Genomic DNA, 12,346 nt, shown 5'->3' with positions numbered 1-12,346 from the left:
GAAAATGCTGAGTGGAACCCAAATGTTCATCAGTCTTATGTCTTAGAAATTCAAACACAGATGAGGTATGTTAAAATGATCTGCCCCTGTTCACCCAGAGTTTCCAAAATATTGACATCAGAAGTGTGTTCTCCTGAACTTTCTCTGGAGGTTGGGCTCTAGGTCTATGGTTCCCATAGCAGTGAAAAACACATTCATCACTTTTTATTGTGAAGGGTTAACTATATCTCTCACTAGACAATGAGTTCCAACAGCATTAGATTCATGTCTTATTCATTTTTCTAGTAGTGTTACTTTGTTTTATATAGACTGCTTTTCTTTCTTTTCCCCTTTTCTTCTTTTTCAATAAATGTAATAAAATGTTCCCCCAAATGCCAAAAAATACTAAGGAAGAATCCCTTCACTAAAATAAGCCTTCATTTTGTTATTCATTATGTCATGGTTTTCATTCATTGTGAGTCTGTTTAATTTTAAGTAGAAGCTTGTAAGACCAAATTTTTATAAATTAATGTAAGATGACTAATAAATACTCTAACAGAGTACAACAGCAAATAGCTGCTCAAATTCCAACGAAGGTGATTCTTTACCTAGTTCTCCTTACATTTTTTATTCTAGAATTGAATTTAGTGATAGCACAGAGAAAATTCACAGTTTTAAAAAGTAATGAACTACCTATACAATAGGACAAAAGATTTACTAAGCTGAAGTCATTTTATGCTTCATGCGCTTAACCCTAATATTTTGGGCAGAGAACTTTTTATGAGTCCAAAATAAGTAAGCATTCACAACAGCTTTTTAAAATTGTATTTGAAAATAGTGCATCATGAAAGTAGAAACCTTTAAACAACATTTGCAAAAAATGTTAAGTCAGCAAAATTGTGTTCATGTGTTGGGTTTTTATTTGTTTCTGAAGACAAACACAATATATGAACCACTCTCCTGATTACAATGTGAGTACAACATTTATTTCCATAAAAATATATTTACTTTTATACTAAATTTATATATACATGATTTATATATACAATACACATATATAAATACACATATATTTATATTACATTTTATATATACGTATGTGTGTATTTTTGTATATATGCATACATATAAAATACTTGAACCTCAGAAAATGCTTACTTTGGCCTCTGTTGAAAGCACTCAATAAAGAGAAAATTTGTTCTATATTCAGATTCTATGACCTGGCTTCCTTATCAGTGGAAACATTGGCAAATATTAGCTTTACTTAGGATCAGATTTATTTCTGTTGTATATGCACATAGTTGTAATTGATTGCTTTCTATGTTAACTTCCTAAGAAACCAAGGGTTATTTTAAAGAAGCATTGTGGGTAATACTGAAATCCAGCGAACAAGAACAGGCAGGAGACATGATTGAACATTCTTTACAGAGGGAAAAAAAAGGCATTCAGAACTCATAATGTGCTCTAGAGTAATTAGCTTCTGCTTAGTAGTCATAACATTACAAGAAACCAAATGTCAGGTTTAAAAATGATTAATGTGTAAATGAACTGTTGTGCTACCTGCTGCTAAGATCTCAACAATCAAAGTAGTTTTAGCACTATCTTGGAACAAAAACCATCATTTCTAGGGCAGAGGTTTGCTTTTTTTTAATATATTTTTTGAGATGGACTCTTGCTCTGTCACCCAGGCTGGAGTGCAGTGGCACAATCTCGGCTCATTGCAACCTCTGCCTCCAGGGTTCAAGCTATTCTCCTGCCTCAGCCTCCTGAGTAGCTGAGTACAGACATGCGCCACCATGCCTGGCTAATTTTTGTATGTTTAGTAGAGATGTGGTTTCACCATGTTGGTCAGGCTGGTCTCGAACTCCTGACCTCGTGACCCGCCAGCCTCTGCCTCCCAAAGTGCTGGGATTACAGGCATGAGCCACCGTGCCCGGCTGGGGTTTACTTTTTCTCCTCATAAAAATGCTGATGTTTTATATGATTAGGATGAATCAAGTCAAAAGTGAAAATAGGCCAGGCGCGGTGGCTCACATCTGTAATCCCAGCACTTTGGGAGGCTGAGGCAAGAGGATCACTTGAGGTCAGGAGTTTGAGATCAGCCTGGCCAACATGGCAAAACCCCATCTCTACTAAAAGTATAAAAATTAGCCAGGGCATGGTGGCACGCACCAGTAGTTACAGCTACTCGGGAGGCTGAAGCATGAGAATTGCTTGAACCTGGGAGGCAGAGGTTGCAGTGAGCTGAAATTGTGCCGCTGCACTCCAGCCTGGGCGACAGAGGGAGACTCTGTCTCAAAAAAAAAAAAAAAAAAGAGAAAAAAAGAAAAGAAAAAGAAAAGAAAAAGTTGAAGTACGTTTCTATTACAACTTCAGTTTTGGTTTTTTTATAACTTATATTGCTGTATAAAAGTTAACATATAAGGTAAGGAAAACTTAGTGCATTATGGCTATTAACTTATTTTATTTTGTCTAGTTTTTAACTTTATTTTTAATGTTTTTGGGTACATAGTAGGTATATATATTTATGGGATATATTAGATGTTTTGATATAGGCATGCAATGTGTAATAATCACATCATGGAAAATGGATATCCATCTCCTCAAGCATTTATCCTTTGTGTTACAAATAATCCAATTAGACCCTTTTAGTTATTTTTAAATGTACAATTAAATTATTATGGACTATAGTCACCCTGTTGTGCTATCAAATACTAGGCCTTATTCATTCTTTCTAACTATTTTTTGTATCCATTAACTATCCCCACCTCCCTCTCACTCTCCCATTACCCTTCCCAGCTTCTGGTAGCCATCCTTCTACTGTCTATCTCCAAGGGTTCAATTGTTTTGATTTTTAGATCCCACAAACAAGTAGAACATGCAATGTTTGTCTTTCTGTGCCTAGCTTATTTAACTTAACATAATGACCCCCAGTTCCATCCATGTTATTGCAAATGACTGAATCTCATTATTTTTTATGGCTAAATAGTACTCCATTGTATATAAGTATGACATTTTCTTTATTCATTTATCTGTTGATGAACACTCACATTGCTTCCAAATCTTAGCTATTGTGAACAGTGCTGCAATAAACATGGGAGTGCAGATATCTCTGCAACATACTTATTCTCTTTCTTTGGAGTATATATGCACCAGTGGGATTGCTGTACAGTACTTCTATTTTTAGTTTTTTGAGGAAGCTCCAAATTGTTCTCCATAGTGGTTACCCTAATTTACATTCCCATCAACAGTATGAAAGTTCCCTTTTTTCTTAGCTTATATCCAAAAGACAGGCAATAACTGGGGGTGAGATTAGTTATGAGGGTGAGATGACATCTCATTGTAGTTTCGATTTGCACTTCTCTGATGATCAATGATGTTGAGCATCTTGTCTTATGTCTTCTATTGAAAAAATGTCTATTCAAACCTTTTGCCCATTTTTAATTGGATTATAGAGTTGTTTGAGCCCCTTTATGGCTATTAACTTTAAAACAATAAATAGCTAATGTTTAATTTATGCTTATTATTCAGGTTCTTTTCAGTATCGTTAGGATAACTTTGTGGGTATTGGCTTCAAAATTACATCTAGTAGGCCGGGCACAGTGGCTCATGCCTGTAATCCCAGCACTTTGGGAGGCTGAAGCAGGCAGATCACCTGAGGTCGGGAGCTCAAGACCAGCCTGGCCAAAATGGCGAGACCCCATCTCTACTAAAAATACAAAAATTAGCCTGGCATGGTGGCAGGGGCCTGTAATCCCAGATACTCGGTAGGCTGATGCAGGAGAATCGCTTGAACCTGGGCGGCAAAGGTTGCAGTGAGCCGAGATCACACCACTGCACTCCAGCCTGGGTGACAGAGCGAGACTATGACTAAAAAAATAAAATAAATACTTTTTTTAAAAAAAAGAATAAATAAATTTTTTAAAATTTTAGAAAAAAGCTTAGTTCAGCCTGTAAAAATACAAATAATATGATTATGGACAAATAACCACTGAGCCACTAACCAATTTAATTTCTTCTCATATATGGTCAGAATGGAAGCTAACTTTCCTTCACAAGCGAGAAGTCATTGTATGCCATAATACTCAAAAAGAATGAAAACCACAAAGCAAAACTTTCCAGAGGATCATGAGAATCAGAGATCTTTTCGAAGACTTTATAAATTCTTGGCATTGGATCATACTTTGGCTTTGTTCAAGAGTCATTGTCTTTTGGAAGAAGTTTTCTGATCTCCCGGCTCATAAGCATTCAGGACACAGCAGGGGCCAAGTAAGGAAATTGTGGAGATTTTATACAAACTGGCACAAAGGATTCAGGTGACTCTGAAAGGTGGAGCAGTTGGTGTTCTGGGCAATGTTGCTGGGTGTTGGTGGCAACACATTTATGTGAAATGAGTGGCCTGATTAGGGAAACAGAAGCAGTGTGATAGGCAAGGCTTGGCTTCTAAGAGTCATGGAAGGGTTTGTTACTTTCAAGAGTGGTATAATACATGCCGCTATTAATACTAACAGTACATTTTACTTGACAGCAAAGCGGCCAATCAACCCAGAACACCAATTGCTAATGGTGATGGGTCTAGGTAGAGTTAATGGGGCCTCAGACCTTTCAGAACTCATCGTTCTTTCAGAACCTAGGTTTGGTCAATGGCTCTTTAGTCAAACCAAGGAAGGTTGTGTCCCAAGTCCAGCTTGACTTAGAGGTTGGGAAAATCCTTGAAAATGTTGAATGCTTGTTGCAACCATCCTTGCAGCCAAACATGGAATGAAGGTCAGGCATTTCTTTTCATGGCACCATAGCATCACACTATTATTTTCTAACTCTCTGTCTCTTCCAACAGACTATAAATTATTTGAGTCAAGAAAACTTACATATTTTTGTATCTAAAGTGGCTTGCACAATATCTGAGACAGAATAAATATTTTTACAATGAATGAATGGATTAAGCAGCTAAGGACTAAATCAGAAGGGAAATCTAAAGCTGGAATGTTAGTCTATCAGAAGAGAGAGGTTCCAGGCGGAACACGGTGGCTCACACCTGTAATGCCAGTGCTTTGGGAGGCTGAGGTGGGAGCATTGTTGAGACCAGGTATTAAAGATAAGCCTGGACAACATAGCAAGACCCCTGTCTCTACAAAAAATTTAGAAATTAGCCATGTGTGGTAACACAAGCCTGTAGTCCCGGCTACTTGGGAGGCTGAGGCAGGATGACCACTTGAGGCCAGAAGTTAGAGATTGGTGCACTATGATTGCACCACTGCACTGAAGCCTAGGTGACAGAGCAAGACCTTGTCTCAAAAAAGAGAGAGAGAGAGAGAAGTGATGGAGCCTGAGTTGTTACTGTAGCTACCACTGAAGTTTGCCAATATGCCAATCACCACGTTAAACATTTTTCATGTATCATATAATCCTCACACAACCTTTTGAGGTAAGTACCATCATAAGTATCATGGTACAGATAAGTATATGATACAGATAAGGAAAATAAATAAAAGAAAATTACAGAAAATCCCCCAACAAAACGTGGCCCTGAGTCTCACAACTAGTAGGAATTGGACACCATAGCTTAAGAGTTTTTTTTAATTAATTAATTTATTTTTTATAGCAGTTTTAGGTTTGTGGAAAATTAAGCCGATAGTAAGAGAACTCCCATATAACTCCTTACTCTTTAGCTTATAGTTTCCCTTATAATTAAAATCTTGCATTAATGGGTGTGTTATAATTAATAAACCAATAACAATATATTATTATTAACTAAAGTCCATAGTTTATGGTCCTTATTTTGTGTTGTACAGTTATATGGGCATCGACAAATACATACATAGCTTAAAATTGTAACCCCATATCACAATAAAAAGATACTCTGGAATCATTAAAAAGATGTTTGAATGAATTCTGAGATCTCATCATGAAGATGGCAACTCTTCCAAATTAATCTATGACGTTAGTGCAATTCCTGTCATACATCCAAAGGATCTTCATTAAATTTGAAAAACCCATGCAAAACTCAAATGGAAAAGGCCAAGAAGAGCCAGGACAATTTTGAAGAATAGGAAGCATTATCTTTACCAGATATCAAGCTTATAATAAATCTATAATAATTAAAACACGCTCTTTTTACAATTAAACAGATCATCAAATAGACCATTAAAACGAAATACAAGTCTAGAAACAGACCCATGCATATATGGATTTTTTTATTTAAGGCAGAATTTTTATCTATTTATAAATCAGTTGGGAAATGGTAAACTATTCAATAAATGACGCTGGAACAAATGATTCTCCATATGGGGTAAGAAGGAAAATTTTGCCACCCACCAAAAAATTAAGGTAAAATAGACACTAAACATGAAAAACAAAACTATAAAACATAAGAAAACACAGGAAAATGTCTTCATTATACCTGGGCCAGGACAGATTTCTTTAATAAGGCACAAAGACCACAACTCATAAAGGAAAACTGATAAATTTGCATATAATAACATTTTTGCATATAATAACATTTGAAATTTTGTATGACAAAAGACACCATAAACAAAGTAAAAGGACATGCACAAATTGGAAGAATTTTGCAATTCATATAGCAAAATACCTATAATAGAATTTACGAAGAACTGCCACTAGATAAATAAGGCAAAGCAAAAAGGAAAAACAAAGCAATTGATTTAAACAGGAGAGGAAAAAACGGATGGCAAAGAAAAATATGTAAAGATGTTCAACCTTGCTATGAATCAGAGGAATACAAATGAAAGGCACAATGCTAGGCTCTTTTATACCTACTGGCTTGAGAAAAATTGAAAATTCATATTATGTGTTGGTAAAAGTGTAGAGAAATAGAAATTCTTGTACACTGCTAGAAATATAAGTGACTCTCAATACTTTGGACAGTGAGGCAGAGACTGCTTATTTTTTATCAAATTCATTTTCTTCTTTTTCTAGGGCGCGCAGCTAGACTGTCTTTCCCAGGTTCCCTTGCAGTTGGGTGTGGTTATCTAACAGAATGTTACCAGTGGAATGGGATTAAAAATGATGTGTTTCTCCATGTCCTTTCCCCCTTCTGACTGCCTGGAATGGCCATGCCAAAGGAAACTTGAAAGTCACATGTTAAAAATGGCAGCATCCCTTACAGCCTGGTTACCTGAATAGCTGTGTAGAGCAGAGTACCCCTCCCCTCAACCCATTCTACAAGTTACCTGGTGTTCATTCAACTCACTATGAGGGTCTCAGCACATGCTGCTCTAGGTTTTTAGGTGAATGAGAAATAGACTGTTATTGTATTTGCTGCATTATTTTGGGGTGGGGGAGGGTCTGTCTGATGCTGAATCTGAGCTCACTACAGAGATGCATTTGGCAATATACAAGATCTATACCTGTGGCTAGCAATTCTGTTTTTACCTACATTCCCTAGAGAAACTAATAGTTACATGAAGAGGGAGACATGTATAAGAATGTTCATTGGCCGGGCGCGGTGGCTCACGCCTGTAATCCCAGCACTTTGGGAGGCCGAGGCAGGCGGATCACAAGGTCAGGAGTTCGAGACCAGCCTGGCCAATATGGTGAAACTCCGTATCTACTAAAAATACAAAAATTAGCCGGGTGTAGTGGCGGGCTCCTGTAGTCCCGGCTACTCTGGAGGCTGAGGCAGGAGAATTGGTTGAACCCGAGAGGCGAAGGTTGCAGTGAGCCAAGGTCGTGCCATTGCACTCCAGCCTGGGCGACAGAGCGAGACTCCGTCTCAAAAAAAAAAAGTTCATTGCGGTACTAACGGTAATAGAGGAAAACGGGAGTAAAACTAACTACCTTCATACAGGAAAGGATAAATTGTGACTTGTTTATAAAATGTAATACCATAGACCAGTACTTATTAGCAATTTAGACACACACTTATTAACATGGATAACATTAAAAAGCAAATTATGGCCAGGTGCAGTGGCTCACACCTGTAATGCCAGCACTTTGGGAGGCCGAGATGAGTGGATCACTTGAAGCCAGAAGTTCAAAACCAGCCTGAGCAACATGGCGAAACACTGAATCTACGAAAAATACAAAAATTAGCCAGGTCTGATGGTGCACGCCCATAATCCCAGCTACTCGGAGGCTGAGTCAGGAGAATCGCTTGAACCTGGGAGACACAGGTTGCAGTGAGCCGAGATGGCACCACTGCACTCCAGCCTGGGCAACAGAGCGAGACTCCGTCTTAAAAAAAAAAAAGCAAATTGCAAAATAACTATAATATGCCATCTAAGTAAATATTTAAACATCAGCATATGGGGAACACTTATAAACAGTACGAAAATGAGAATTATAATGAAAATCACTAATTCAGTATAGGAATTCTGGGTCGGTCATGTATGATTGTGTTGTGGGCACCATTCATGTAAACTACAGTGTTTATGCAGTATTCAGTCTTCTATGATAGACATAGGAAGGAAAGGTAGAAAGATGGGCATGATTTTTTAATCATGTATTTATTTATTTTTGAGACAGTCTCACTCTGTCGCCCAGGCTGTAGTGCAGTGGCGTGATCTCAGCTCACTACAACCTCCGCCTCCCGGGTTCAAGCGATTCTCCTGGCTCAGCCTCCCCAGTAGCTGGGATTACAGGCACCTGCGACCATTACAGGCACGCGCCACCATGCCCAGCTAATTTTTGTATTTTTAGTAGAGACGGGGTTTCACCATGTTGGTCAGGCTGGTCTCGAACTCCTGACCTTGTGATCTGCCTACCTCAGCCTCCCAAAGTGCTGGGATTATAAGCATGAGCCACCACACCCGGCCATTTTAATAATATTTTAACTTTAATTGTATCTGTAATTTATTTTAAATGACAAAGAGAAAGAGAAAGAGAAGAATCTGATATTGTCAAATGTTGACTTTTGTTTAATCTTGTAGTTCATTAGTAGATGCCTTTTTTTTTTTTTTTTTTTTTTTTTTTGAGACAGAGTCTTGCTCTGTTGCCCAGGCTGGAGTGCAGTGGTGCGATCTCGGCTCACTGCAACCTCTGCCTCCCAAGTTCAAGCGATTTGCCTGCCTCAGCCTCCTGAGTAGCTGGGACTACAGGCACGTACCACCACACCCAGCTAATTTTTCTATTTTTAGTAGAGACAGGGTTTCACCATATTGGCCAGGCTGGTCTTGAACTCCTGACCTCGTGATCCACCCACCTCAGCCTCCCAAATTACTGGGATTGCAGGCGTGAGCCACTGTGCCTAGCCCTTTTTATTTTCGTACTTTTTGCTACGTGAATAGTGTTTCATAATGTACCCTTTTTATTTTCATACTTTTTGCTACGTGAATAGTGTTTCATAATGTAAAAAGATAAAAAGAAAAGTAACTAAAGAAGGTCCCAAGGGCAATTCTTTTTATTATTTCACTATTTTATTATTCTTTTTATTATTTCACTTTATTTTTTTCGTGATTGAAAAGTAACGGCCAGGCGCAGTGGCTCAGGCCTGTAATCCCAGCAGTTTGGGAGGCCGAGGTGGGTGAATCACCTAAGGTCAAGAATTCGAGACCAGCCTGGCCAACACGGTGAAACCCTGTGCCTAATAAAAATATAAAAATTTACTGGGCGTGGTTGCACACACCTGTAATCCCAGCTACTTGGGAGGCTGAGGCACGAGAATCACTTGAACCTGAGAGGTGGAGGTTGCAGTGAACCGAGATCATGCCACTGCACCCCAGCCTGGGTGATAGAGTGAGACTCCATCTCAGAAAACAACAACAACAAAAGAAAATTAATAAATGCTTTATTATAGAAAAATTTGAAGAGCACAAAACACAAAAAAAGACTAAAGGAAATAAGTCACTCATATTCCCATTCTAGAAGTTCTTATATTTCTGAAAGTGTAGCAAGATTCCAAAGCCACTGGAAAAAGTGAAAATTATAATAAAATCTAGTATATGCATCAATATTTTGATGCTTATTTAACTGTAATATTCTACTGATATATTGTGGTTTGCCTATAGTATATGGCCCATAAAATTGGTATATTAGATAGGCAATAAAGTGACTGCTATGGTTTGCAGGGACCTTTATCAAAATAAAACTCATTAATTCCAGTTATTTTCAAATAGGAATAGAGAGGGGATTGGTGGGAGTTTACAGACATGGGCATGGCTATTGTTGGTTGGATGTGGAGCCTTAGAAAAAACACACTGTCTTTCATTTGTCTTATTACTCACCAGTGGATATTTATAACAATGAAGATGAAATTCGGTTTAAACAGTGCTGAGGACAATTCAGAAGCACTAAAAACAAAATACATGTTAAAGGGTAGGTGCAGTGTGGCAGATTATATTTTCCAAATGTGGCCACAACAGTATCTTTTATCTCACCTCTCTTCTTACCATACATTTTCTTTCTTCCCATTGAGAGATGGGGTGTAGGTTATGACTTCTCCTCTCCAACCTGGGCAAGTCTTTGTGACTGCCTTGACCAAAAGCATATGGCAGAGGGATGCCATGTGACATCTAAGGATAGGTAATAAATATGCCACATGTTCACCTTGATCTCTAAGGATCACACTGAGGGATGCCACCCACATATAAGCAGCCTAAATATTCTGAGGCTGCCATACTTTGAGGAAGCCTAAAGTAGCTCATATAAAGAGACCCTGAGACTACTTGGAGAGAGATGCTTGACCTGCCCCCAGTTGCTTCAGCCCTTCATTGGTACAGTCAGTGTCTCACTACAATTGCATTAGAAACCCAAGCCAGAACCATCTAACCAAGGCTTTCCTGAATTTCTGACCCACAGAAACCATGAGAGATAAGGAAATGATTGTTGTTTTAAGCCATTAAGTTTTGGAGTGTTTTCTTAATACCACAATACATAAGTGAAACATGTAGAAAAGAGGATAGAAGAGTGAGTATAGTTAAAAATAATTTATTGTGTATTTCAAAATAGCTGCACAAGAAGATTTGAAATGTTCTCAACATAAAGAAATGATAAATGTTTGAGGTGATGGATATCCTGATTACCCTGATTTGATCATTATACATTATATGCATGCATCAAAATATCACATGGACCCTATAAATATGTACAATTATTATGTATCAATTTTTTTAAAACTATAAAACAGGCCATGCAAGGCAGCTCACACCTGTAATCCCAGCACTCTGGGAGGCTGAGGAGGGAGGAACACTTGAGCCCAGGAGTTTGAGACCAGCCTGGGCAACATAGTGAGACCCCATCTCTACAAAAAATAAAAAATTAGCTGGGTGTGGTGGTGTGTGCCTGTAGTCCCATCTACCCAGGAGGCTGAGCCAGGAGGATTGCTTGGGCCCAGGAGATGGAGACTGCAGTGAGCTATGATCTCACCACTGCACTTCAGCCTGGGTGACAGAGATAGATCCTGTCTTAAGGAAAAAAAAAAAAAATTGCTTCTCCTTCTCTGACTTGTCCTCTTTCACTCTCACTCTCCAATGAAAAACAAACAAAAAAGAGTTTGGGATCAGTTGCTAGCCTCCAGATTCTGAAATTTTGTTAGTACCAATTGGAAGCTTCCAGTTTCTTCTTTCCACATACATAGTCCCTTGGGTCTGGTCTCTGGTAGTGTTTTGTACCTCAAGAGGGAACAATTAACGTTAGTTGAACAGATGACTATTCTGCAGCAGCTGAGCATTCTTACCCTGGGTTTTCACCTGGCCAACATGGTGAAATTCCGCCTCTACTAAAATTACAAAAAAAAATTAGCCAGGTGTGGTAGCGGTGCCTGTAATCCCAGCTACTCAGGAGGCTGAGGCAGGAGAATCGCTTCAACCCGGGAGGTGGAGGTTTCGGTGAGCCGAGGTCACGCCACTGCACTCCAGCCTGACAGACAGAGTGAGACTCTGTGTTACAAAAAAAAAAAAAAAAAAAGGCCAGGCATGGTGGCTCATGCCTGTAATCCCAGCACTTTGGGAGGCCGAGGCAGGCGGATCACGAGGTCAAGAGATCGAGACCATCCTGGGCAACATGGTGAAACCCCCGTCTCTACTAAAAATACAAAAATTAGCTGGGCATGGTGGTGGGTGCCTGTAGTCCCAGCTACTCTGGAGGCTGAGGCAGGAGAATCGCTTGAACCCAGGAGGCGGAGGTTGCAATGAGCCAAGATCATACCACTGCACTCCAGCCTGGGCGACAGAGCTCGACAGAGTGAGACTCCGTCTCAAAATGATAGCAATAATAATAACACAATTTTTAAAAATGTTGGGTTTTCATAAAGTGAACCAACATTGGACGCCCTTGTATTCTCTTCATTGTTCTTCCCACAAACAGGAAGTATACTTACTTTGTAAGGCAGTACAGAATACTCTTCCCCTTAGAGCTTTGCCTAAAAGCTTTACTAGTTTCACTTTTTGAGTCATGACGTTTTCTTCTTGGC

Source organism: Homo sapiens, chromosome 6 (assembly GCF_000001405.40).
Source record: "Homo sapiens chromosome 6, GRCh38.p14 Primary Assembly".
Taxonomy (NCBI): Eukaryota; Metazoa; Chordata; class Mammalia; order Primates; family Hominidae; genus Homo; species Homo sapiens.
This window is presented reverse-complemented; position numbering follows the sequence as displayed.